At 48.0% G+C, this 27,483-nt stretch overlaps 1 protein-coding gene across 6 annotated transcripts in view, besides 7 other annotated features; it reads left to right on the top strand.

Moving 5' to 3' along the window:
• HCK (HCK proto-oncogene, Src family tyrosine kinase) overlaps nucleotides 1-27,483 on the top strand; it is a 49,615-nt gene that overhangs the window by 6,224 nt on the left and 15,908 nt on the right. For 3 of the 6 annotated variants that reach the window (NM_001172132.3, NM_002110.5, NM_001172129.3), the window contains 7 exons: nucleotides 13,197-13,317; nucleotides 14,854-14,896; nucleotides 15,251-15,353; nucleotides 16,158-16,256; nucleotides 21,309-21,412; nucleotides 25,429-25,578; nucleotides 25,926-26,078. In NM_001172132.3, the coding sequence (NP_001165603.1) occupies nucleotides 13,197-13,317; nucleotides 14,854-14,896; nucleotides 15,251-15,353; nucleotides 16,158-16,256; nucleotides 21,309-21,412; nucleotides 25,429-25,578; nucleotides 25,926-26,078 (773 nt within the window). Of the gene's footprint in view, nucleotides 1-11,222; nucleotides 11,287-13,196; nucleotides 13,318-14,853; nucleotides 14,897-15,250; nucleotides 15,354-16,157; nucleotides 16,257-21,308; nucleotides 21,413-25,428; nucleotides 25,579-25,925; nucleotides 26,079-27,483 lie in introns of all 6 variants that reach the window. The other 3 variants (NM_001172131.3, NM_001172130.3, NM_001172133.3) reach the window with 2 other exon arrangements.
• Nucleotides 4,104-4,173: an enhancer, noted in NCBI's record as "active region_17708". NCBI's record gives its function as "activates an Ori minimal core promoter by ATAC-STARR-seq in GM12878 lymphoblastoid cells {active_cell/tissue: GM12878}" and the evidence as "EXISTENCE:reporter gene assay evidence [ECO:0000049][PMID:35858748]".
• Nucleotides 6,103-6,182: an enhancer, noted in NCBI's record as "active region_17709". NCBI's record gives its function as "activates an Ori minimal core promoter by ATAC-STARR-seq in GM12878 lymphoblastoid cells {active_cell/tissue: GM12878}" and the evidence as "EXISTENCE:reporter gene assay evidence [ECO:0000049][PMID:35858748]".
• Nucleotides 6,443-6,492: a silencer, noted in NCBI's record as "silent region_12775". NCBI's record gives its function as "represses an Ori minimal core promoter by ATAC-STARR-seq in GM12878 lymphoblastoid cells {active_cell/tissue: GM12878}" and the evidence as "EXISTENCE:reporter gene assay evidence [ECO:0000049][PMID:35858748]".
• Nucleotides 9,201-9,250: a silencer, noted in NCBI's record as "silent region_12776". NCBI's record gives its function as "represses an Ori minimal core promoter by ATAC-STARR-seq in GM12878 lymphoblastoid cells {active_cell/tissue: GM12878}" and the evidence as "EXISTENCE:reporter gene assay evidence [ECO:0000049][PMID:35858748]".
• Nucleotides 13,207-13,707: an enhancer, noted in NCBI's record as "H3K4me1 hESC enhancer chr20:30659475-30659975 (GRCh37/hg19 assembly coordinates)". NCBI's record gives its function as "activates a minimal SCP1, AML or CMV promoter by ChIP-STARR-seq in naive H9 embryonic stem cells {active_cell/tissue: H9 hESC(naive)}" and the evidence as "EXISTENCE:reporter gene assay evidence [ECO:0000049][PMID:30033119]".
• Nucleotides 18,837-19,037: a silencer, noted in NCBI's record as "peak4189 fragment used in MPRA reporter construct". NCBI's record gives its function as "represses an SCP1 promoter by STARR-seq MPRAs in K562 erythroleukemia cells {active_cell/tissue: K562}" and the evidence as "EXISTENCE:reporter gene assay evidence [ECO:0000049][PMID:32103011]".
• Nucleotides 25,943-26,442: an enhancer, noted in NCBI's record as "H3K4me1 hESC enhancer chr20:30672211-30672710 (GRCh37/hg19 assembly coordinates)". NCBI's record gives its function as "activates a minimal SCP1, AML or CMV promoter by ChIP-STARR-seq in primed H9 embryonic stem cells {active_cell/tissue: H9 hESC(primed)}" and the evidence as "EXISTENCE:reporter gene assay evidence [ECO:0000049][PMID:30033119]".

Genomic DNA, 27,483 nt, shown 5'->3' on the forward strand with positions numbered 1-27,483 from the left:
GGTTGCAGTGAGCCAAGGTCTTGCCACTGCACTCCAGCCTGGGCTGACAACAGCAAGACTCTGTCAAAAAAAAAAAAAAGGGGGAGAACTGAGGAGGATACTACTCATGATTCCTGCAGCACAATTCCTTTTATGTCAAAACACACACACACACACACACACACACACACACACATACACACACTAGTCCATCATGGCGTATATGTCTTAGTTTGAGTTTCTCCAGAAGCAGACCCTAGGCAAGGTTTCAAATGCAAATAGTTTGAGAGCTGATTCCAGAGACCCTCCTAGGGGAGTAAGGAAGTGAGGCAGGGAACAGGAGGTAGTCATTAAAGGTGTCTTCTAAGCCCAGTTACCACTGCGGGCACCTGGAGCTCAATCCCACTGAGGAGCTCTGGGAGCCAGGGTAGAACAGGCTTGAGAGGTGAGGGAACCGGGGTATTTGTCCACCCTGTTCTCGCTCCTGTCTTTTGTTGAAAACTACTCCTGGGGATGTGATAATTCTCTAGCACTTTCGGCTTGCCAAGCCCATGGGCAGAGCAGGCACCAATAGCCACAGAGAAATCTCTCAGACAAAGAGATGAAGGTGCCGGCAGCTGGAAGTCCAGCCAGAATGTGCAGAAATGGTAAAGGGCAGAGTGATAGAGGCAGGGCACTGACAGCCTCTGCTTCAACATACATGTGTGTAAATGCAGAGGCAGAGGCTGAGGCCAAATGCTGGCAGAGGATATCTGGGTGGGGAAAGAGGTGGCCATGGAGGGCTTATAGAATGAGTAATCCAAGAGTGTCTTAAATGTATCTGTAATGTTTTAATCTTCCTTCCTTCCTTCCCTCCCTCCCTCCTTTCTTTTCTTTTCTTTCTTCTTTCCCTTCTTTCCTTCCCCCCTTCTCCTCCTCCTCTTCCTCCTCCTCCACTTTCTTCTTCTCTTCCTTCCTTTCTTCTTTCTCTCTCTCTCTTTCTTTCTTTTTTCTTTCTTTCTTTCTTTCTTCTTTCCCTTCCTCCTCCTCCTCCTTCTTCTTCTTTCTTGCTTCTCTCTCTCTCTCTCTTTTTTTTTTCTTTTTCTTTTTGAGACAGGGTCTCGCTCTGTCTCCCAGGCTGGAGTGCAGTGATGCTATCATGGCTCATGCAGCCCCAACCTCCTGCGCTCAAGCGATCCTCCCACCTCAGCCTCCTGAGTAGCTGGGATCACAGGCACATGCCACCACACCCAGCTAATAAAAAAAAATTCTGGTAGAAATGGGGTCTTGCCATGTTGCCCAGGCTGGTCTTAAATTCCTCGGCTCAAACGATCCTCCTGTCTTGACCTCTCAAAGTGCTGGTATTACAGATGTGAGCCACCATACCTGGCCTCTAATGGTTTAATTTTTAACAAGAAGGATGCACTAATGTTTTACTAGGTGGTAAAAGGTCATTTTAAAAATAAAATACATACCCTTCAAAAAATAAAAGAAACTGAGACCTGGAGCTTTGTCAATTATAAAAAAAATGTAAAAGGATCAGCGCCTGTGTTACTGAGGCTTTGAGGATTCCATTTGTGGAGGACAGGTTTGGGGGCAGCTGATCTCTCAGTACCACGGCAGGTTAAAGTGAAAAGTGGCCCTGGTGGTGAACTGGCCACCATGTCCTGTCTGGAGGGGGAAACTTCCACTCAGCGGCAGCCAAGGAAAGACTGCTCCTCTCCCAGCAGAAGCGAGCAAATGTGCATCACCCTTCTCAGTTTAAACATATATTTATAGCTATTGGTTTTCTTTTTGTTTGTTTGTTTTTGTTTTGAGACAGGATCTCACTCTGTTGCCCAGGCTGGAGTGCAGTGGGGCAATCTTGGCTCACTGCAACCTCTGCCTCTTGAGTTCAAGCAATTCTCCTGCCTTAGCCTCCCAAGTAGCTGGGATTACAGGCACCCACTACCACGCCCAGCTAATTTTTGTATTTTTGGTTGAGACAGGGTTTCACCATGTTGGCCAGGCTTGTCTCAAACTCCTGACATCAGGTGATCCGCCTGCTGACCTCAGGTGATCCGCCTGCCTCAGCTTCCCAAAGTGCTGGGATTGCAGGCATGAGCCATTGCACCTGGCCTATTTATAGCTATTGTTTAGACGGGAAATCTGGGGGCATCCAGCAGACTAAATGGGGACCTTACTGTCATATCTCATATCCTATTGGTCAGATGGATAATAAACAAATCAACAGGTAATACATTAGGTGCATTAGTCCAGGTCCTTTTTTATTTTTTCTTTTCTTTTTCATACTTAACTTCAGCATACCCTGAGATAGTTCAAGTCCTTTGAGAAGCAGACTCCCATAGCATTAAATGTGCAAGAAATTTATTGGAGGAAATGGCTATGAGAGAAAATGGGAAGAAACCAGGAGAGGACAGGAGAGCCATCAGATAGTGGGGTACCTCTGTCCACTAATGAAAAAGAAAAGGAAGGAAGAAAGGAAGGAAGAAGAAAGGAATAAAAGGAGGACGTGTCTTGGACTGCCATGCCGTATTTTTTTTTTGTAGTTGTTGTTCTGTTTTATTTTGTTTTTTTTGAGACAGAGTCTTGCTCTGTTGCCCAGGCTGGAGTGCAGTGGCGCAGTCTTGGCTCACTGCAACCTCCGCCTCCCGGGTTCAAGCAATTCTCCTTCCTCAGCCTCCTGAGTAGCTAGGATTACAAGCATGCGCCACCACGCCCAGCTAATTTTTGTATTTTTAGTAGAGACGGGGTTTCACCATGTTGGCCAGGCTGGTCTTGAACTCCTGACCTTGTGATTCGCCCGCCTTGGCCTCCCAAAGTGCTGGGATTACAGGCGTGAGCCACTGCGCCCAGCTGCCGTGCCATTCTAAGGAAAGTTTGTCAAGGCTGTTAAGGAGCCCTTGGCCAAAGTCTCTTGACAGAGGTCCCCCAGACATGGGTGGGCTTCGGTCTCCCTGCCACACTCAGTCATTGGCTGGGAGCAGCCCATGAGAGCAGTGATGGACTTCAGAGCACAGCAGCTGAGCCGCTGATCAATTTCTCCAGTCGTACTCCTGCAGTTGGAGATCTGAGAGGTGCATCCTCATGGCCACCACGTTTAAGAGGTGGTTAGGGGCATGAAGACTAGCTGGGAACAGGCTAGACAGTGATGGGAGTTGGGGGGCAGAGGATCCTGTCTTTGCCAGGGTGATGAGGGAAGGTTGCTCTGAGAAGGTACAATCATTAGAGAGACTGAAGGAAGTGATGGAGCCTTTCTGGGTGAAGAATATTCCAGAAACAGAACATGCAATGCCCCAGAGGTATAAGCACAGTTGGTGAGTTGAAGAAGAGCAAGGAGGGCTCCAGTGGAATGATCAAGGGAGAGTTAGAAGGAGACAGATCTGAGAGGCTGAGGAGGGGATCAGATTGTGGAGGTCTTACCCACCTTGGAGAGGACTTGGGCTTTTACTCCAAGTGAGACGGAAACCCTGGGTGGGGGTTGAGCAGAGAAGGAATGCGATCTGACTTACCTTTTTTTTTTTTTTTTTTTTTGAGACGGACTCTCACTCTGTTGCCCAGGCTGGACTGCAGTGGTGCGACCTCGGCTCCCTGCAACCTCTGACTCTGGGGTTCAAGCGATTCTCCTGCCTCAGCCTCCTAAGTAGCTGGGATTACAGGCATGCGCCACCATGCCCGCCTAATTTTTGTATTTTTAGTAGAGATGGGGTTTCACCATGTTGGTCAGGCTGGTCTCCAACTCCTGACCTCAGGTGATCTGCCCGCTTCAGCCTCCCAAAGTGCTGGGATTACAGGTGTGAGCCACCATGCCCAGGATGACTTACATTTTTAAAGGCTCACTTATTTGTAAGAGGCAGAATGCAGATTCAAACCCAGCTCTATCTGACTTCAAATCTCATGCTCTATTTTCAAACTGCCCTGCCTCCTGCCTGCCTTAGAGATAAAATCATTCCAAGAAGGTTCACAGTTGCTCTGGAATTCTGAAATTGACCAAGTGTCCCAAGAGTAACATTGAACATGCTATGAGTTTTATATGTGGTTGAATAAGTGTTTGGAACACAGGCATCTCAGAGCCAGCCCTATGGCTCAGCCAGGCAAATGATCAAAGCCCTGAGTTCTCCTTTAGTGTGTTGCTCTGTCGCTCGCCATCGTGTGAGCCAGGGCCCACGCAGCCTCTTGGGGTTGTTACTCCACCTGTCCAATGAAGATTTTGATCTCCCAAGTTTCCTCCTGTTTGCAAAATCAAAGTTTTGAGCTCTATGAGAAAGAAGCTGAGGCTCAGTAAAGGGAAGACGTGAGAAGTCAGGAGTGACCCCTAACTGTCTATTAGGGACAGTAGTCACTCGGGGATAAAGACAGTTCATTCAGAAGACAGTCAGGGAACCCGAGGAGAGGGAGCTGCTGGGCTCTGCACCCCCAAGGCACTGCTCAGGGAATTGGCTCCTGTTGAGGAAATACTTTTTCCCCACCCCCATTGCTGAGCTGTTCTGAGAAGGGAAAGTTCCTGTAACTGAACAGCCTTAAGCCCTGGGCCCCCAGCGGTCTGCCTTCTTGAGAGTTCTGTTTGGGTTCCTCATTCTCCCCTTCCCCTTCATCGCCCACAGCCTCTGGGGCTGACCTCAGTGGATGATGACAGGCAGGAGAGCTGAGTGCCAGTTTGACCTACCACTGACTAGCCGGGGGACCCACTCTCCCATGGGCTTCCATTTCCCTATCTGAAAAATAACTTCATAATTCTGGTCTGTTGACTTCAGCCAAGTATGATGAGGTCCATAGAGAGTAGAACATAATATATCCATTACACGAATGTGTATGGGGGGCCTATTAGATACCAGGTGCTTCTTTTTTTGAAACATTCTTGCTCTGTAACCCAGGCTGGAGTGCAGTGGCATGACTACAACTCATTGTAGCCTCAACCTCCCAGGCTCAAGTGATCCTCCCACCTCAGCCTCCCAAGTAGCTGGGAATACAGGCACATGCCGCCATGCCTGGCTAATTTTTTTGGGTAGAGACAGGGTCTCGATATGTTGTCAGGACCAGCCTTGTACTCCTGGGCTCAAAGCAATCCTCCCACCTCAGCCTCCAAAAGTGCTGGGATTACAGGCATGAGCCCCTGCACCCAGTCTCTATAACCAGGTCCTTTTAAGGCATGGCTTCAGTGCCATCAGCTTAATGAGGTCCATATTCCTCCCATCCTCACCTACTCTAATAGGTCTAGTACCATCTTACCTTCTCTTCTACCAAAACCTGGTATCAGGGAGGTCTTTGCCATCAGCCATTTGCACTTGAGTGCAAATCACAATCCCTTATAAGAATTCCCTCTGCACTGGGCAAGACTCTTTGATGTTTAAAGGGAAATAAATCCAACTCAAAACTGGCTCAAGCAGAAGAAGGAGGTTACTGGAAAATCCCTGAGATATCAGCTTCAGGCGAGGCTTAATCCAAGGCTGAGAGTCTGCATTTCTCTATTTCTTGGGTTTGCCTTGCTGCTGCAGGCCTTTTTTTCCAGCTAGAAACCAAGGGCTGGCTCTCGTTGGCCAGAATTGAATCACATGCCCATCTCTACTTCTTTTTTTTTTTTTTTTTTTTTTTTTTTTTGAGATAGAGTCTCTCTCTGTCACCCAGGCTGGAGTGCAATGGCGCAATCTCGGCTCACTGCAACCTCCACCTCCCAGGTTCAAGCAATTCTCCAGCCTCAGCCTCCCAAGTAGCTGGGATTACAGATGCCTGCCACCAAGCCCGGCTAATTTTTTGTATTTTTAATAGAGATGGGGTTTCACCATGTTGGACAAACTCCTGACCTCTGGTGATCCACCTGCCTCTGCCTCCCAAAGTGCTGGGATTACAGGCATGAGCCACCGCGCCCATCCACCCATCTCTGCTTCTATTACTGCAACTCTCATTGGCTTGATTTGGTCACAGATCCACCTCTACAGCCAGGGGTTGGAGTCAACTCTATCCCAATCCATAAACTGAGACTAGGGGCGGAGTAATTCCCAAAGGAAAATTGGAGAACTGTTGTTAGAAGAAGGGGGGAATGGATTCTATGCAGGAAAGAGCTGCAGCTTCTTCTTTCAGAGAACTTCTAATCCAACATCTCATTTCACATTTGGAGAAACTGAGGCTCAGAGACAAGTTGAGACTTGCCTAACATCACACAATGAGCTTATAGCAGAGATGGGACCACAATCCAGGGCTTCACACCCTCAGCCCTTGCAGGTTTCTGCTTAAGCATAGAAGCTCCCAGAAAACCATCTCCAGCCCACTGGATGGATGCTCAGGCAGGCCCCGGCCTCTCCCCCTTGAGCTTGACTCTGAGAGCACAGGCCGAGTCTCTGAGTTTTCCACAGCCAGCATGGTAACCCTGGGAAGCAGCCAGGCACAAGCAAGCTGACCTCTCTCATTTCACTCAGCAGAGGCTGAGGCGGTGAGGAGCAGGTTTCAGGTTCCCAGGGACGGCAGTGGCCCGAGGAAGTATCTTTACCAGGGATCAGCAGTTTTGAGTGGGTGTGCAACCAGGCAGACTGCTTCTGCTCTCAGAGCGTGCTTTTGAAGCACATTAGATGAGAAATGCGTATGCAGAAGTTTTATACAGTCCTTCACATCCCTAGTCACATAGGACCTCAGGCCAAGCCTGAGAAGCAAGGCCTCCTATTTAGCAGGAAAGAAAAATAAGGCTCAGAGAGGGCAAATGACTTGCTCAAGGTCACATACCCAGTCAGTGGCAGAACTGCTATCCAAACTCAAGTATTCTGACTCCCAAGTTCAGCCTTCATTCTGCTACATTGGTGGATCTCAAATTTTAGTGTATATACTAATTTCCTGTAGAATTGTTAGAACTACAGATTCCAGGACCTCACTCCCAGATACTGGTTCATTCAATCCAGAGTGTGACCCAAGAATATGCAAGAATCAGTGGAGACTTTTTGAGTTCAAATGGCAGAAACCCAACTCAAATTGGCTTAAGCAAAATTGATAATTTATTTGCTCGTGGACTGGAAAAATCCTGAGGTGTATAGGCCTCAGGCATAGCTGGATCCAGGTGCTCAATTTATCTTCAGGAATTACTTTATCTCCATACCTCAGCTCTGTTGTCCTCTCTGGTGGCTTCACTCTAAAGCAGCTTTTACCTTGATGATGTTGAGGTGGCCTCCAAGAACTCCAGGTTCCTACATCTCAACAATCCTTATAGAAAGAGGGTGCTTTTTCCCTAATTTTTGCAGCAAAATCCCAGGGCAGACTGCCTCAGTGAGGAGGACGTATATGCCTACAACTGAACCAATCTCTGTAGCCAGGGGGCCAGAGGATATGGGATTCTCTGATTGGCCAGGCCTGTGTCAAGTTGCCAATTCCTGAAGGCAAGGGTGGGATCGGCCCCACCAAACTTCATGCACTAAGTGGGAGAAAGCTGGTTCTCCAAAGGAAAATCCAGGTACTGTTATCTGAAGAGGGACAGATGCTGAGGAGGCAGGAGCAAAAGAGGTTCTCTAGCCTTCTTGGCTAGAATGTTCACATGAATCGCCTGGGAACCTTGTTAAAATGCACATTCTGATTTGGGAAGTGGGGACTGAGATTCTGCATTTCTTACAGCTCCCCTGTGAGGTTGAGGCTGCTGGTTCTCACGCTAGCCACACTCTGAGCACCATATTGCATTTCTAAACTCACTCAAACCACTTTGTCACAAGGCACTCTGCAGAGAGGCCCTGGGCTACATAAACCTCTTTCTTCCACCATTCTCTCCCCACCTTCACCCCATCCCCTGTTCCCAAACTCACCCGAATAATATCAGCACCATCTGTTTGGGAACCACTCACCAACATACTATAGATTCTGCTGACAAATCACAGTTGAAGAAATTGTCCATTGTGCCCTCCAGTGACTTTTTTTTTTTTTTTTTTTTTTTTTTTTGACAGAGTCTTGCTCTGTTTCCCAGGCTGGAGTGCAGTGGCACGATCTTGGCTCACTGCAACCTCTGCTTCCCGGGTTCAAGCGATTCTCCTACCTCAGCCTCCCAAGTAGCTGGGATTACAGGTGTGCGCCGCCACACCTGGCTAATTTTTTCTGTTTTCGGTAGAGTCAGGGTTTCATCATATTGGCCAGGCTTGTCTCGAACTCCTGACCTCAAGTGATCCACCCACATCAGCCTCCTAAAGTGCTAGGATTACAGGCATGAGCCACTGCACCCAGCCCCAGTGACCTTTTTATGAGGAGCCACAGAACAAATTCTCTTTTGAATTTATACTCAAAAAATATTTGTTTCTGTCAACAGACAATTTGTTGTGCTTCCTGGGATCTTATGGTGATGTTGTACAAGTTTCCATTTTTATCTTGGCTACTAGGAAGCTCAGAGATAAATCTAGTACTCAATGGTAGTAGCAGTCCCACCCTGGGCTTCTGGTTCAATAATCTTTCCCTTCTATATGGTGTAGAGTAACCCTTTTTGAGTCTTGCAGTGCTCTGTGTATGGTTTAATATTATAAGCTCCTTCAAATCCTTTTTGGAAGTCGGTTCTTCTTTGGAGTATTCTTGACTTTCCCCCAATCTTTATCTATTCAGATCCTCCCTGTTCTTCAAAACCCAACTCATTATCTTGCTGCTCAATTATTATTGTAAACAGGTTGCTTTTTATACGAACTTACTAACATACACGTAGGCACATAAATTCATTTTAGAAGAGTGGTTTGATGTACATGTTTGCAGTTTGCATTTTTCACCCAATAAGTATTTTAGCAATCTTTGCATGGCCCCTCCTATGTTTACCACTCCCTAGTAGCTTATTTTTCTTTCATTCTTAAAACTGTGGTAAAATATGCATAACAAATTTTCCATCCTAATCATTTGCAAGTGTACACTTCAGTGGTATTCAATCCATTCAGCATGTTGTGCAACCCTCACCACCATCCATCTCCATAACTCATTTCATCTGAAACTCTACACCCATTGAACACCACTAACTCCTCACTTCCCCTTCCCCCAGCCCCTGGCAACCACCATTCTACTTTTTGTATCTCCTAATAGCTTCTTAGTATGTGGCTTCGGAATGTAATTGTGTGTCCAGTCTCCCCTTCTCAACTCGGTCATAGAGCAGGAATGTCCTGATGCTTTTACTTTTTTTTTTTTTTTTTTTTTGCCCCGTCTTATGGTGCTCAGACACTTTTACTTCCTACTACATAAAGTATGGCACGCCAGGCATGCAGCCATTCACTCACTGTGCATGACACTCCTACTGTGTGCCAGGAGACACTGGGCTAAGCACTGAGGAACGCAGGTGTGAGCACCAGCCTTTCCTGTGCTGCAGTGATGGGAGCATTCTGTCTCTGCATGTTTGCATATGGTGGCTCTGAGCCACAGACGGCTGTTGAGCACAGATGGAGTCATAGCTGAGATGTGCTCTAACAGTAAAATCCACACTGAGATGTGAAGGCTTAGTACAAAAAAAAATGTAAAGTATCTCATTCATAATTTTTATATTTATTATATGTTAATAATTTTGATATATTGGGTAAAATAAATACATCTTAAAATTAATTCACTTGTTTCTTTTTACTTTAAGAAACCTGGATGTAAAAATTTTTTTAAAAATGAAAAATAGGCCAGGCGCAGTGGCTCACACCTGAAATCCCAGTACTTTGGGAGGCCAAGGAGGACGGATCACCTGAGGTTGGGAGTTCAAGACCAGCCTGACCAACGTGGTGAAACCCTGTCTCTACTAAAAAATACAAAAATTAGCCAGGCGTAGTGGCACATGCCTGTAATCCCAGCTACTCAGGAGGCTGAGACAGGAGAATCACTTGAACCCTGGAGGCAGAGGTTGCGGTGAGTGGAGATGGCACCACCGTACTCCAGCCTGGGCAACAAGAGCAAAACTCCATCTCAAAAAAATAAATAAGTAAATGAAAATTAAAAAAAAATAAAAACTAAAAATAAATTTAAAAGGAAAATAAAAATAAAGTAAAATGAAAATAATTTTTTTTTAAAAAAGGAAAAAATAAAATAAAATAAAATTTCAATTTTAATTTTTAAAAACCTGGCTGTAGAAAACTTTAACTTATATTTGTGGCTCACATGACATTTCTGGGCCTAGTGACCATGAACATGGACATTTCTGATGCCCAGTCCACACCAGGCAGCAGACATGGTTCTCTCATTTAGGGAGACAATCACATTTTACACAAATTTGACTCCTGCCAGTGTATCACTTTCAGAAAAATCACACTTTCAGCTGGGCATGGTGGCTCATATCCCAGCACTTTGGGAGGCCAAGGTAGCAGGATCACTTGAGGTCAGGAGTTCAAGACCAGCCTGAGCAACATTGTGAGACCTGCCCCCCCTCTCTGCCCCCTGTCTCTACAGAATATAAATTTTAAAAGATTAGCCAGGCATGGTAGTTTGTAACTGTAGTCCCAGCTACTAAGGAGGCTGAGGTGGGAGGATCACTTGATCCTGGGAGGTCGAGGTTGCAGTAAGCTATGATTACACCACTGCACTCCAGCCTGGGTGACAGAGCGAGACTGTCTCTGAGAAAACAAATCACACTTTATTGTGCAAAAATGGAACTCATGGGAATTCCCTATTTTAAAAAAAGCGAACTTCTCCAGTGTTGCAGTATCTCTAGGCTTGTGGGCCAGAGGAATTGCAAACTGTGCTTGCTTCATGATCCGGGGCAGTGTCACGTCTGCCAGTAAACAGAAATAGTTGTGGTTAATGTTTCTGCAGCGCTTACTGCATGCTGGGCACTTTTACACTCATCAACTTGCTCAGTGCTCACCACCACCCTATGAGGTAGAACCCTTGCCACCCTTTCTCAGAGATGGCCTTGGATTGTGAATGAACACAGGTCTTCTGAGACCCCTCCCTCGGGACCCTGTGGCCATCTTGAATATGTACATTGATCACGTAAGTGAAGCATACAAGGTGCTCAACGCGCATGGATTGGAAATCACAAGACTCACAGCTGCAGATCAGTGGGTGCCCAGAGAGGTAGAGTGAGCTGCCCTACCTCACACAGTGCTGCTCTTCCCAGAACATCTTTATGCTGACCAAAACACACGAAATGTGATATAATTTTATGTCATATATGTCACACAAGATGCCCGTTTAATTTCCCAGAACTGTAATACACATTTATCTCAAAGAGAGATGCTGGTTTCAGTTTTAAATGCATGCAAGTACATTATAAATCTGTGCTTAATTATGATAATTTTTCAAATTAATGATCCAGCACTCCAAGAGTCTGAATGTGTTCCTTATTTTATTTCCAAAAGACAAACAAAGCAAAACCGCTCAAGTCTTGAGGTGGCAAATCTTTCCCAGTTCCCACCAGAAGAGGTAAATCCTTGTAAATAAAAGGAATCTTTTTTCATTTTTAAAAGTAACTCATCTAAGCCTAGGAGTTTGGGGTTTTTTTCCTTAAACCACAAATACATGTTTATTTTAACAAGATAAGTATAACTGAGTTCTAACTGCTTTAGAAGAAAATGGCAATTGTGCAGAGATGAGAAAAGCAAGCACTTCCTTATGTGGTTGTCACAGCCTGCCTTCTCAGCAAATGTGTGTGCACATTTTGAGAAAAGAAATGAAACATTTCTTCCACTTTTACAATTATGTTTTGACTCTACTTGGAGTAAATGTGTTTTGTTTAAGCATCCTTAAATTAATTCAATACAGCAGCAAAGTCTGCAAGCTCTACCTCCAAAATGTCCCCCAAACCTGTCCAATGCTTACCTCCTCTCTGCCCCCACACTACCCTGGGCCACCATCATCTCATACCTGAACAATTTTGGCAGATTTCTCACAGGGTTCCCTCCCCTGCTCCCCACTGTCCACGCCTCACTCAGCCACCGGTGGGATTATTTAAAGTGCAAATTGAATCCCATCATTCTCCTGCCAGAAACTTTCCATCATCCTTAGAATAAAATCCAAAGTCCTTACTGGCCCTACAGGATATGGTGGCCTTGTCACAACCACCCTCTTCCCTGCCCATGAGCTTCAGCTACACTCTCCTGCTTTCAGTGCCTCCAACTTCTCTCTAAGCACATGCCAGCCTCAGGGCCTTTGCATTTGCTGTTCCCTCTGCCTGGAACACTCTTCCCTCAGAGTGTCCCCTCACTGGCTCCTTTGTGTCATTTAGACCGCAGGTTCTGTATCCCTTTCTCTGACAGGCCTTCCCCAAATGCCCTGCCTAAAAGAGCCAGACCTGTTGTTCCCCACAGCATCCTCTCTTATTGTCCTCACACTTTTCATTAACTCAATTTGCCCTGTTATTTATTTGTTGGCCTGTTTATTGTCTCTGTCTCCCATTCGGCTGCAGTTGAGGTCCTGAGGGCGTGAACTTGCTTCTCTTCTTCACAGTTTAGAAAAGTGCCCAGTAAATCTTGGCTGTGTAAATGGATGAATGAATTACCAAACAACTCAGAGAGAGACAGAGAGAAAGAGAGGAGGAAGAGGAAGAGGAAGAAGACGAAGAAAGAGGAGGAGGAGGGAGGACAGAGGAGGGGGAAGGAGGAGGAGGGGAAGGAGGAGGAGGGGGAAGGAAGAGGAGGGGGAGCAGGAAGGAAGGGAGGGAGGGAGGGAGGGAAGGAGTTATAAGCAATTTATAAATTGATACCAGTAATACGGTGCCTTGACAAACTAGATTGTTTGAGCCATGTTATGTGACCTCATCTTGTTATTTAATATAAAAATGGCAATTTATCATCTGATAATACTGCAGTTTTTCTGTAGTGTTTGCTCTGAGCCTGACACTGCACTGAGTATTTCCCCACTGTAGGTCATATTATTGTCCCCATTTTGCCGATGAAGACCTGAGAGGTGGGTAGGGGCAGGAAAGTGGTCAGTGAGGTGCTGGTGGGGTGGAGGGGCCAAGGATCAGCTGAGGCTTTCTGACCTGAGAGCTGGCAGTGCCCACCCAACAGCTCTACCTGTTACATTTCTGTTATCCTCATGCCATCCTCTGAATAAACATCCATCACGCTGGTCCTTGGTACCCACGACAATGACAGCTTGTCAGCCCTGGGCCAGTGCTGTGGCACGTGGACATGGGGAAGCCCAGAGGTGGCAAGGATGGAGTGGGTTCCATGTGGGGAGGATAAGGGTGCATGGAGCTGGCAGGGGAGTTAAGACCGGGAAGGCCAGTGGGAGCCAGCCCGGGGGCAGGGGACCTGGAATGCCAGCATCAGAAGACTTCCCCGCATGAGGCTCTTGGTAACTGGGGCTCACCTCCCTTCTGTCTGCTGCAGGATGGGGTGCATGAAGTCCAAGTTCCTCCAGGTCGGAGGCAATACATTCTCAAAAACTGAAACCAGCGCCAGCCCACACTGTCCTGTGTACGTGCCGGATCCCACATCCACCATCAAGCCGGTGAGTAGGGGAGGTCCCAGTTTCCCTGGGGGCTGACGGATGCTGCCCCAACATTGCCCTAACAGCCTCCTGTCTTCCCAAGGTTGGGCAGGGTGAGCTTGGGGTGAAAGGGAGCTGACTGGCCACCAACAGTGTCCTGACTCGACTCTCCGGGACGCAGCGCCAGCCAGCATGCATAGGGGCAAAGAAGTCATCTCTCTTTCCTGCAGCCCAGGCTTGGCCCCTCAGCCTGAGCTCCACCAAACAGGTGTGAGTGAGCATCTCAGGCCTCCGGCCTGGGCAGAAGCAAAAGCAGTGCTGAGAAACGAGTGAACAGTAATGATAGCAGCTGAAGTGACAATGTAATGGTAGTATCAGCAGCATTGCAAAAATACAGTAACAATTGTCATACTAATAGTACCAACCATAATTGCGTGAGTATAAGACCAAGAGTAGCAGCAGGAACAACAGCAAGAGTTGTAAAAAGAGAAGCAGTCATGCTAGGAGAGGTATTTACCAACTTCTTTTATGTTTATACAAAGCTGACTATGAACCCAGCACTGTTGTAAGCCTTTACGGTTATTAACACCCTAATCCTCACAATAATCCTATTGTGTGACACACAAATACATTCTTCTTGAAAATAAAAACACAGGCCAGGTGCAGTGGCTCACACTTGTACTCCCAGCATTTTGGGAGGCTGAGGCAGGAGGATTACTTGAGCCCAGGAGTTCGAACTGCATGAGCTATGATCACGCCACTGCACTCCAGCCTGGGCAATACAGGGAGACCCTGTCTCTTTAAAAAAAAAAAAAAAAAAAAAAAAAAAGAGCTGCTTAGAATGCCATAGTTTAGGTGTCACTTCCCCCTTGCATGGACACTTAGATTGTTTCACATACATAACAGAGCCTTTATTTATGGAATATAAATCACTGGTGGGCCTGTGATTTCTCCAAACTTAGTCGGAAAACACTGATCTGGACCGACCCCTTCACTGTGTGTTGAGGGGAGGGGTCAAGCAGCATCCCCCGGTACATCCAAGACCGAAGGCCGAGGTCACAGCTCAAGAAACCTGGATCCTGGCTGGGCACAGTGGCTCACTCCTGTAATCCCAGCACTTTGGGAGGTCAGGAGTTCTAGACCAGCCGGGCCAACATGGTGAAACCCCATCTCTACTAAAAATACAAAATTAGCCAGGCATGGTGGCATGCGCCTGTAATCCCAGCTACTTGGGAGGCTGAGGCAGGAGAATCACTTGAACCCGAGAGGTGGAGGTTTCGGTGAGCTGAGATCACGCCACTGCACTCCAGCCTGGGTGACAGAGTGAGATTCCATCTCAAACAACAGCAACAACAAAAAATCTGGACCATTTTGTTTGCTGGCTCTGCCCCTAATGTGCCGTGTGGTGCCAGGCATGTCCCCTGCCGTATGTGGGCCTCCTCCCACGACATGCAGGGCTAGGGTAAGATGCTCTTGGGTGTCCTTCTCAACACAGACCTTCCACGGGTCCCCACACATTGGTCAGATTCATTCTCTTCTCTCATTTCTTCCCCACAGGGGCCTAATAGCCACAACAGCAACACACCAGGAATCAGGGAGGGTAAGTATCTACGAGCAGATGCAGTGGAGTCATGTGTCCTGCAGAGGACTCCGCTAGGTTCTCCCTTAGCTTGAGGCATAAATCCCAAACAGTCAAACCCCTGTCGAGAATCCCCAAAATTTCCTCTGAAGTGCTTTGCGCAGGCTATTGTGTTTCTAGAACGCTGTTTAGTAACATGAACAAAACATATTTAGCTTTAAACTTGAGAATCACACCCAGCATGGTGAGACGCCTACTTATACTTGGAACCACATATCGATGGGTGCGGAGCTGTTCCAGGTGCCGGGTGAGGGTCACCAAGGGCTGTGGATGCACTTAGACGAAACCTCACCCTCTGTGTGTCTCCCTTCCCAGCAGGCTCTGAGGACATCATCGTGGTTGCCCTGTATGATTACGAGGCCATTCACCACGAAGACCTCAGCTTCCAGAAGGGGGACCAGATGGTGGTCCTAGAGGAGTGAGTCCCCATCCCACTCCCCCTAAGACAGACCTGCCTCCTCTACTCAACTATGTGCTCTTTTGTGCTTCCATAAAGAACCTGATAGATGGGCTATCTTATCCTGGGTATAAATGTCTAATGAGAAGCTAATCACAATAGTGGAGGAAGGGTTTGCTGTCAACCTGGATGAAGGGGATTGTGCACTTACTGAGAGTGCACGTCCAGCCTGAGATGAACAGGTGACGCTTTCTCAGGGAAGCCTTTCTAGGGCTCCTGCGATTAAGCCACCGGCTTTACCTGTGGACCAGGCCCCATCGAGTCGACCTTGCATTTGGAAATCCTTGGATCTCTGAGTTTGCCACCTCGGATCTCCTACAGCCTTCACCATCATGGGTATAGTGTCCAGGATGTGCTGAAGCCCGAGAACGGGAGTGGTCATGCCTGGTCGGACTCCCAAGCCCACTCTCCCCTATTCTCAGCCCCAGCTGAACCATTCTGAGTCTCTATAGGCACAGGACCCTGCCATGGGTATAGCTAATAAGACCAAAGCTGCAAGTCCAGGGAAAAGGAGTGGAGCCAGAGACCCAGGGCTCTGGGCTGTGGACAGGGAGATTCCAGACCCTCAGATGCACAGCAGGAACTGTTGTAAGGATCCCTACCCTAATCATGGCCACATGCTGGGGCTGACATAGTCACAGCCCTGTCCTTCACCCTACTGGCTTTCTGGAGGCAGGGAGTTTTCTAGGTCAAGGCTGGGGAGCTTGAGGAGACTGGAGAATGATCCTTCTGTCCCTAACACCTTTACTCCCTCATGTCCCTCAGATCCGGGGAGTGGTGGAAGGCTCGATCCCTGGCCACCCGGAAGGAGGGCTACATCCCAAGCAACTATGTCGCCCGCGTTGACTCTCTGGAGACAGAGGAGTAAGTATCCTATTTCCTACCTTCCAGAAAGAGGCATGAGCAAAGCCAGCCTTGTTTGCAACTCAGGACGTCTGCACACACTGTACCACTGCCTGGCACATACTCTTCCCAGGGCTCTGGGCTTGGCTGGCTCCTTCTCTTCCTTCAGGTTTCATCCTTCCAGTCAGGGAAGAGAGGCTAAAGTGGGTCCCAGCTGTGACTCTGTCTTGTGGAAACCTGTTTTAATCCCTTCTGAACATGTTTTACTAGCAAAACGACCTGGTTTCTTTGGTTGGTTACACGTGCATTCTCTGCCTGCCCTGCAAGGAAGAGAGCTGGTGAGAGCGGGGACTTTGTCTGCTTCTGCATCCTCGGCACAGGCTGGCATGCAGTCAGTGCTCAATAAATATTGTTGAATGAAGCACACGGTCTTGCCAAGGAGGGTTTCTGGAGAGGTGAGACAGCTCACACCTGGCCAGTCGTCCCTCATTTGTTGTTTTGTTTTGTTTTGAGACAGGGTCTCACTCTGTTGCCCAGGCTGGAATGCAGTAGCACCATCACAGCTCACTTCAGCCTCAGCCTCCCTGGGCTCAGTTGATCCTCCCACCTCAGCCTCCCAAGTAGCTGGGACTACAAGTGCGCATCACCATGCCCAGCTAATTTTTTTCTTTTTTGTATTTTTGGTAGAGAGGGGGTCTCTCTGTGTTGCCCAGGCTGGTCTCAAACTCCTGGGCTCAAGTGATCTTCTCGCCTCAGCCTCCCAAAATGCTGGGATTATAGGCCTGAACCACTGCACCTGGCCCATCCCTCATTTGATTCATTCGACAAGCACATGCTCATGACTCTTCAAGCCCTGTGCCAGCCTAAGGGGCTGTGGAAACAAATAAGATATATCCCTACCCTCAAGGAGCTCTCCATAACCCATCGTTCTTGGCTGTGGGTTCTTCTTGTGTCTAGCTTGACTCTAAAAATATACTTCAGTCATCCATCCATCCATCCATCCATTCATCCATCCATCCATCCATCCATCCATCCATCCATCATCCAACAGATACCTGTTGATTCCCTATTCCAGGGTTAGAAGATGACTTAGATGGGGCTCCCTGCTGGAGATGTTCTCTGTATGGTGGATGAGGTTGATGAGTAAAAAGATGACTACATTGTGGGGTGGCAATACATCCCATTAAAAACCAGCCAATCAAAAGTTGACAAATGACAGTCCCCATTGTTTTGTCTCTTCTGCCTCCTCTTTCTAGCTAGATGGTATTATGGGTTTGGGATGCTTGCCTGTTAAAAATGAAAACGCTTAGGCTTTTCCCATTATAAAGCCACCTCCTTCTGGCTGGGCATGGTGGCTCACACCTGTAATCCCAGCACTTCGGGAGGCCAAGGCACGCAGATCACCTGAGGTCAGGAGTTCGAGACCAGCCTGACCAACAAGGTGTAACCCCATCTCTACTAAAAATACAAAAAAAATTAGCTGGGTGTGGTGGTGCGTGCCTGTAGTCCCAGCTACTCGGGAGGCTGAGGCAGGAGAATCACTTGACTCCAGGGGGCAGAGGTTGCAGTGAGCTGAAATATCATGCCACTGCACTCCAGCCTGGGGGACAAGAGCGATACTCTGTCAAAAAAAAACAATTATGTCACCCCTTCTTAGTGATCATGGAACTGGGGGCTCTTAGCTGTTTCTCTCTCCTTCTTCCAGGCTTTGCCCTGGGTCATCCCATGCTCTGTTTCTCCACTCCAGGGTCTGAACACTTACAGAATCCCTGGGTCACCTCATGTAGTCCTTGCAGCAACCATGGAGGAGGCGTGGCTGGCATTATTTCTCAAAGGCAACATAATTGCTAAGTGGAAAACGCAGGGTGTAGACAACATGAATGGGGGGTTATCATTTGCAGACAAAGGCAAAATAACCTAGATGGGGGGTTCTCAGACATGAGCAGCAACAGCATCACCTGGATTGCCGGCTAACAAGTGCTTTCTGGGCTCCACTGTCAGATTCCGAATGTGCATTTCTAACAGGTTCTTGGGTGAGGCAGCTGCTGCTGCTGCTGCTCCAGGGACCCAGCTTGGGAACCACTGATCTAAATACGCATATCTGGCCAGGTGTGGTGGCTCACACCTGTAATCCCAGCACTTTGGGAAGCCGAGGGAGGTGGAACACTTGAGGTCAGGAGTTCAAGACCAGCCTGGCCTACATGGTGATACCCTGCCTCTACTAAAAATACAAAAATTAGCCAGGTGTGATGGCGGGCTCCTGTAATCCCAGCTACTCAGAGGCTGAGGCACGAGATTTGCTTGATCTGGGAGGCAGAGGTTGCAGTGAGCCGAGATCACGCCACTGCACTCCAGCCTGGACAACAGAGCGAGACTCTATCTCAAAAAATAATAATAAAAATAACAAATGAATACACATATGTGTCCTTTCAGGGCACTCAGGGGTCCTTGTGTCTGAATCAAGAAACTGCTAACAGAGGTTGCCTCTGGGGAGCACAACTGGGACCTTGGGAATCAGGGCGGGATGGAATCTTGGTTTCTCTCATTCTCCCTTGAAATAGGCAATACTTTCAAATGTTTCAAAATGCAAATGTGGGGAAGCATGCAGAAGAGTGAAAAGTCTTCTTCCCACCCTGTCCCCAACCAGCCACTTCCCCTCCCCAGAAGCAACCAGTTTCTCGTGAGTCCTCCCAGATGCTTCCTCCTTATATAAGAAAAGACATCTCTTCCCGCTTATCTCACACAAGTGGTAGATACCACACACACTGTTCCATGCCTCTCGTTCAGACCTTCCATGCAGCACCTTGTTCCTGTTTTGTTTTGTTTTGTTTTGTTTTGTTTTTTAGGTGGAGTTTCTCTCTTGTTGCCCAGGCTGGAGTGCAATGGTGTGATCTCGGCTCACTGCAACCTCCGCCTCCCGGGTTCAAGCGATTCTCCTGCCTCAGCCTCCCAAGTAGCTGGGATTACAGGCATGCGCCACCATACCTAGCTAATTTTGTATTTTTAATAGAGACAGGGTTTCTCCATGTTGGTCAGGCTGGTCTCGAACTCCTGAACTCGTGATCCTCCTGCCTTGGCCTCCCAAAGTGCTGGGATTACAGGCGTGAGCCACTGCTCCCGGACACCTCCTTCCTTTTTATACCACAGGGCGTCTGTCCTGTAGATGTCCTACCGTCCATTTAACCTCTGCCCTATACAGTGGTCACTTAAGTTGTTTCCAGTCATGTACTGAAGCGAATCTCCTGGTGTATATGTCATTTCTCCCTTGTGCAAGGTCTATGGGATAACTTCCTAGGACCAGAATTGTCAGGGAGACAGTTGGTTTTTTTTGTTTGTTTGTTTGTTTGTTTTTGAGACAGAGTCTCGCTCTGTTGCCCAGGCTGGAGTGCAGTGGCGTGATCTCGGCTCACTGCAAGCTCCACCTCCCAGGTTCACACCATTCTCCTGCCTCAGCCTCCCGAGTAGCTGGGACTACAGGCTCCTGCCACCATGCTCGGCTAATTTTTTTTTTTTTTTTTGTATTTTTAGTCGAGACGGGGTTTCACCATGTTAGCCAGGATGGTCTCGAACTCCTGACCTCGTGATCCACCCGCCTCGGCCTCCCAAAGTGCTGGGATTACAGGTGTGAGCCACCGCGCCCAGCCGGGGGAGACAGTTCTTAGTCTTACATAGTTGAATATTTTACCATGGCACAAGTCACTTTACAACATGAAAGCAAAGAAGGTAGATGAGCAACATAGCATGGTGATTCAGAGCTTGGGTTCTGGAGTTAGACTGCCTAGCTTCAAATCCTGCCTCTACAACTTCCCAGCTGTGTGACTCTAGGCAAGTCACTTGCCCTCTCTGTTCCTCAATTTCATCATCCATAAAATGGGGCCAGGAGCAGTGGCTCATACCTGTAATCCCATCACTTTGGGAGGCCAAGGTGGATGGATCACCTGAGTTCAGGAGTTCGAGACCAGCCTGGCCAACATGGTAAAACCCCGTCTCTACTAAAAATACAAAAATTAGCTAGGTGTAGTGGTGGGTGCCTGTAATCCCAGCTGCTTGGGAGGCTGAGGCAAAATAATTGCTTGAACCCGAGAAGCAGAGGTTTCAGTGAGCCCAGATCACACCACTGCACTCCAGCCTGGGTGACAGAGCAAGACTCAGTCTCAAAAAAAAAAAAAAAAAAAAAAAGGGGGGGAATGATAAAGGTGACAACTCCATAGAGCTGTTGGGTGGATAGCAAGATAGATGTTAACTTCCTCCCCAGTTGATAACAGAGGAACCAAAGGCCCAAAGAGGAAGGCAACTTGCTCAAAGTCACACTGCAGGTTTGTGGCAGAGCCAAGGCAGGCTGAGGTCAGGTCTGGGGCTTTTTTCCAACTGCTCCTCACCCCAGTGAAGGTGGGAATGGATTCCACTGCTGCTGCTTGAACTTTTCCACCCAAATATCTCAATATTCAGGAAGAATGAAGAAAATGTCCCAGGATATAATCCTAAGTATAAAATTCTTTCCAATCTCACATTGTAGCTTAGAAGTTCAGGCCAACTTTATATTCAACTCCATATATGCGGAGGAGGATTGGTTGTAAAGCTAACAAAACTCAGGCCCTTCACAGGCTTCCAAGGTCCCAAGAAGGATCTTCCCCGTGGTCTTGTATGCTTGTGAAACCTGCAAAAGTAAGACTTTGACCACAGCTGGTTAAGACTGCTGTCTGTTTCCACTCTGTCTTCCTGTCCATCTCCCTGTCCCTCACAGCGAGCAGCACTGAAATGACCTATCAGCTTTTTGCACTTGTTAATGCTGTATTATTTTTCTTAAAGGAAGTTCCCCCACTCCAAATTGCATAGGCTTCAGTCTCAGCAAACAGGATTCACTTCGGGTAAAATGTCTATTTTGATATCAAAAGAATGGCTCCTTTACCTTCTCTCCCCCAAAAAATCTTTGAGTAAAACTGATGCTGCAGGAAGCCAGACCCTCTGTATCCTGACATTCCCCTGGGACCTGCATGGCCACAGGCATCCTGTGTAGGCCGGACAGGACTGCATGACCCCAGGTTCACATTTGTCCCCTCCCTTTTCCATCAGGTGGTTTTTCAAGGGCATCAGCCGGAAGGACGCAGAGCGCCAACTGCTGGCTCCCGGCAACATGCTGGGCTCCTTCATGATCCGGGATAGCGAGACCACTAAAGGTGACACCAGCCCTCCCCACCTTGTCCTCCCTGCCGAGGTGCCCCAGCTGGGGCTGGCCACCACCCTTTCCTTGGAAAATGCCCTGGGAAAGGCTGAAAAACCCAACCAGGTGCTGTGGCTGCCAGGTTTCTCCTGCTCTTGGCCACCTGAGCTGGGGAGGGTTGAGGCTCTGTGCCTGGCTCTGCCCTTCTTATCCACCATAGCTGCCAGCTTAGGTCAGTGGAACTAGTGCCAGGTGGCTTAGGCCCTGAAAACAAAGAAACATCCAGCTGAAGCTTGATCTTCACTGACTTGTTTTTTCATTTGTTTTGGTTCTTGTTTTGTTTTGTTCTGTTTTTTGAGATGGAGTCTCACTCTGTCGCCAGGCTGGAGTGCAGTGGTGCGATCTCGGCTCACTGCAACCTCCACCTCCCAGGTTTGAGCGATTCTCCTGCCTCAGCCTTCCAAGTAGCTGGGATTACAAGTGCTCGCCACCATGCCCAGCTAATTTTTGTATTTTTAGTAGAGACAGGGTTTCACCATGTTGGCCAGTATGGTCTCGATCTCCTGACCTTGCGATCCACCCCTCTTGCCCTCCCAAAGTGCTGAGATTACAGGCGTGAGCCACTGCGCCTGGCCTGTTTTGTTTTGTTTGAGACAGGGTCTCACTCTGTTGCCCAGGCTGGTATGCAGTGGCACAATCTCAGCTCACTGCAACTTCTGCCTCCTGGGCTCAAATGATTCTCCCATCTCAGTCTCCCGAGTAGCTGGGACTACAGGTACGTGCCACCATGCTGACTAATCTTTTCTTTCTGTTTTTCTTTCTTTCTTTTTAGTAGAGATGGGGTTTTGCCATGTTGCCTAGGCTGGCCTCGAACTTCTGGACTCAAGCAATCTGCCTACCTCAGCCTTCCAAAGTGTCAGGACTACAAAGTGTCAGGATTGTTTTTGTTTTGGTTTTTTTAAATACCCGTAACAGACCAAGTAGGGGAGGCCAACACAGGAGGATCACTTAAGCCCAAAAGTTCGAGACCAGCCTGGGCAACATAGTGAGACCCCATCTGTATGAAAAATTTTAAAAATTAGCCAAGCATGGTGGTGCACATCTGTACTCCCTGATACTCAGAAGGGTGAGGCCAGATGATCTCTTGAGTCCAGGAGTTCAAGGCTGCAGCGAGCCATAATGGAGCCACTAGACTCCAGCCTGGGCAACAGAGCAAGACCCCATCTCTAAAAAAATAAAACAAAATACCCATTACAATAGATCTTATCCACAAGCCTCATTCCTCCTTTCCTCCCTCCATAAGGAAATGAGGTAGGATGAGGTCGCCAGAAGAGACTCAAGCCAGCCTTCTCTGGGACTCTGCTGAAAATGCTCCTTGGAAGCTTTTGGAAGTTTTAATGTCAGGTGACCAGCTTCCTGGAATTTCTGTGCTGCAAGGGTGGATTCATGCTGATTGGGTGCATGGATGGCAAGAACAGGCCTGGAAAACATCGCGTAGCTCAAACTGGCATCGATTGAGGCTCATTGCCTCAAAGGAATGAACATCAGTAGGATTCTTATGATTTCAGATTTCATGTGCTAAGTGCACCTTTACTAATACATTTAGGTTCACAACTGCTTGACTCAAATAAGCCAAGTATATTGTATAATATGTGACCTCACGGTACCCTGAAGCAAACAGATTTGGGGACATTGATTAAAGGCATGTTCCTCATGTGGCCTTCTACTTGACCCTCAGCTATCTGAATTGGCGAAGCTTTCATGTGGCTAGGATAATGCTACCCACAATCAGTGTGGCAGCTCAGTGAATGCCTGGGCTTTGTCTCTTCCCACCCAACGAGCCCCATTCAAGCCCCCAGGGGGAAGAAAAGGAGATAAAAAGACAAAGCTGTGCACAGCCCAGCGCTTCTCCTCTCTAGCTGTGCCCAGGACAGCTTTTGGCTTGGGCTGGTCCATCCTGCAGACAAGGGCAGAGAAATCAAAGAAACCATCACAGATCTGTGGGGCAGGAAAATGAGCCTGGTCCAGCTTTCACAGCTCTCTGAGATGGGGCATGTTGGGAATTTTAGCCGATTTAATAAAAGTTGCAGCATGAGACCTGTGAATCCCACCCTGCTGCTTCCTGGATCCTGCCACACCCCATCCAGCAGCAACCAAGCCAGTCTCGCCCCTGACTGGGACAGAGTGGCTGAGAGGGGCTCTGGAGCCAGCTGCCTGGATTTGAATCCCAGCTGTGCCACTTACCAGCTGTGTGACTGTAGGTGAGTTATTTCACCTCTCTGGGCTTCAGTTTCCTCATCCGTAAATGAGGATGATGATATTATAAAACCCTTACCCCATGAGGTTATTCATTCATTAAATAAATAATATTATAATTTATATAGTTATAATTCATTATAATGAATATTATTCTTATTCATTCATTGTTCATCTACGCAGAGTGCTTTGAACTTGCCTGGCATGTACGGTAAGCTATTATTCATTCAACAGTATAAACTGGCCAGGTGAGGTGACTCAAGCCTGTAATCCCAGCAGTTTGGGAGGCTGAGGCATGTGGATCACCTGAGCTCAGGAGTTGGAGACCAGCCTGGCCAGCATGGTGAAACTCCATCTCTACTAAAAATACAAAAATTAGCCGGGCGTAGTGGCGGGCGTCTGTAATCCCAGCTACTCAGGAGGCTGAGGTAGGAGAATTGCTTGAACCTGGGAGGCAGAGATTGCAGTGAGCCAAGATTGCGCCACTGCACTCCAGCCTGGATGACACAGCGAGACTCTGACACACACACACAAAAAATAAAGTTTAAACTTCCCAAATCCTATGACATTGTACTATTATCATGGTAAAGAACACTGAGACAGAGGGACTAATAACTTGCCCAAGGGCACACAGCTCACAAATAGCAAAACGGTGGTCATGAGCTGAAAGACTTATGTGTTTCTGCTCTATGTGATAATATAGGGTGGTGCAAAAGTAATTTCAGTTTTTTCCACTACTTTTGAAGGCAAAAACTGCAATTACTTTTGCACCAGCCTAATATGTATGTTAGGTTCCCATTGCTGCTGTAACAAATTAATACAAACTTAGTGGCTTAAAACAACACCCGTCTATTCTCTAACAGTTCTGGGGATCAGTAGTCTGACCTCACTGGGCTCAAGATGTCAGCAGGGCTGGTTCCTTCTGGAGGCTTCAGGGGAGAATTCATTTTCTTGCCTTTTTTAGTTTCCAGAGGCTACAGCATTCCTTGGCTCATAGTCCCTTCCTGACATCTGTCCAAGCTCTTGTTTCCATCTTCACCTCTTCCACTTTGACCTTCCTACCTCCTTCTAACAAGAACTCAAGGGATTACACTGGGGCTACCTGGATCATCTGGAATAATCTCCCCGTCTCCAGATCCTTAACTTAATCACATCTCTAAAGTACCTTTTACCATGTAAGGTAACATATTCCCAGGTTCCAGGGTTTAGGGCATGACTATCTTGAGGGACCACTATTCAGCCTACCACAGCATGTTCACATTTCAATAACTGGACTGGATTTCTGGGTTTTTTTCCAGAAAAGTCATAGCCTGAGTTTTTATGAAAAAGTAAAAAGTATACTATGGTCTCTTGGCTTTTTGTAGGGTAGATGATAGAAAGATGGAACAATAGATCAGAAATAATGAAGATGATGATGATGATAGCCAACATTTGCAGAGTGTTCAGCTTCCAAGTAGTTTACAGGCATTACTTCTTTTAGCCGTCAGGCAATAGGATCAGGTAGGGAGGCGTGAGAACTATTCCCATTTTACAGATGAGAAAACTGAGGCATAGAGAGGTGACATAGTCACATGGCCAAGGTCTCACGGGTGGATGTGGTAGAGCCTGGATGAGAGCCCAGGATGCCTGGCTCCCACAGCCCACTCAGACCCTCGGGCACTTCTGCCCAGGTGTCAGGACGGTGCCAGCGGTAGCCTTACAGGGTGTCAGAGTGCTAATGCAAGGTGGCAGGCCTCCAAGATGCCATTCTGAGGGGTTTCTCTTTGGTCAATTCAGGAAGCTACTCTTTGTCCGTGCGAGACTACGACCCTCGGCAGGGAGATACCGTGAAACATTACAAGATCCGGACCCTGGACAACGGGGGCTTCTACATATCCCCCCGAAGCACCTTCAGCACTCTGCAGGAGCTGGTGGACCACTACAAGAGTGAGTCCCACCCCAGGGGTGACATCCCCACCACGATGGGCCCACAGACTCCTAGTCACGGATGCACTGTGGCCCCTGAGACCTGCTGTGTCCTTCTTGGCCATCCCCTAGACAGATAGTTGCTTTGGATGCTTCTGAAGGCTTAGGACTGTTGAGCAGGAGGGTGAGGTGGCCAAGATGTAGAGGTGGCACCCCGTCACACTCTGCTTGCTTGGGAATGTCTCTGATGGTGGCAACCAGGTGGAACACTGGAGAGATCCAGTGGACCAGGTAGGGCGGCCTCCAAGGAGCAACCTCTGGCTGGCTCGGTGCTTGTTGCTCTCAATTGACCAGGGACTCTGTTCCAGAGGGGAACGACGGGCTCTGCCAGAAACTGTCGGTGCCCTGCATGTCTTCCAAGCCCCAGAAGCCTTGGGAGAAAGATGCCTGGGAGATCCCTCGGGAATCCCTCAAGCTGGAGAAGAAACTTGGAGCTGGGCAGTTTGGGGAAGTCTGGATGGGTAAGGACCCAGGGCCACAGCCCACAGGGCCAGAGGGTGGAGGGGAGAGGGAGGCCACTTGCTTCCAGGAACACCTTATGGCAAAGCGGGAATGCTACCCAAGGCAGAGGGGGAGATTTAAATAATAGCCATAAAGAAGCAGTTCCCTGATAGCAAACCAAATTGTCTTGCTGTGCAAACACTGATTTGCCTTTGAGACCAGTCCTGTAGTGGTCAAAAACTTCCTTCTGGGAAGCAGGTGTCATGGATGAGGAATCCCTCCCTCATACGGAGTGGGGACTGCCTAACAGTTTGGGATTGAGATAACCAGAGACCTTTTCAGATGATGAAAATTAAGAATGGGGAAATGCAGCTTGGAGATTTCCAGGCAACTGATGAACAGGTTATTCTGAGCACCTGCTGTGTGCCCAGCACTGTTAGGGTCTTGTGGGAAAATCAGAAAGGCACATCTCACACCTGCTGATTTTCCCCAAGAACTTAAGAACAACACTGCCTGCTTTGCAGGGCTGTGGGGTAGATGCAGTGCCAGCCCAGTGTGGGGCAGCCTGCTGTGTTAATACGTTCCAAATGGGAGCGTTCCAAATGGGAGCGAAGACAACTTACAGGGATGCAAACAACTCAGCCAGATAAAATAAGTTTAAAATCCATGTATTTCGACTGTATTTATTGCGATTCTGCTGCATGCAAGGCCGGGCACAGTGGCTCACGCCTGTAATCCCAGCACTTTGGGAGGCCGAGGCAAGTGGATCAATCAAGGTCAGCAGTTCGAGAAAAACCTGGATAGTATAGTGAAATCCCGTCTCTACGAAAAAATACAACAATTAGCCAGGCGTGGTGGTGGGAGCCTGTAATCCCACCTACTCGGGAGGCTAAGGCAGGAGAATCGTTTGAACCCAGGAGGTGGAAGTTGCAGGGAACCGAGATCGCACCACTGCACTCCAGCCTGGGAGACAGAGTGAGACTCTGTCTAAAAAATAATAATAAAATTAAAAAGAATTTGACAAAAAAGAAAATATGGAGAGGAAGGTAAGACAGATCTGAGTGGTGAGATTTGAAAGCCAAAAATATCATATAAGACGCTAGACTCCTACTACAGGAAGCCCACGGTTCTGGATTGGAGCTTCCTGGAAGCCAAGGCAAAATGGAAACCCAAGCAATTATAAAATTGACAAGACCCACCAAATGAAGCAGGGTGGGGTGAGGGGAGGGAACAGCATGTGCCAAATCCCTGTGGTGGGAGGTGAGTTGGGTGCTTGAGGGACTGAGTGACCTGCAGGGTGACTGGCACATAAAAGGCAAGGGGAGTTTAGTGGCTGATGAGGCTAGAGGGGTGGACGAGGCTGGGTCATGTAGGGCCTGGGGGTCATAGTAAGTCTGGCATTTATTTAAGAGCAGTGTTAAGATT

Source organism: Homo sapiens, chromosome 20 (assembly GCF_000001405.40).
Source record: "Homo sapiens chromosome 20, GRCh38.p14 Primary Assembly".
Lineage (NCBI taxonomy): Eukaryota > Metazoa > Chordata > Mammalia > Primates > Hominidae > Homo > Homo sapiens.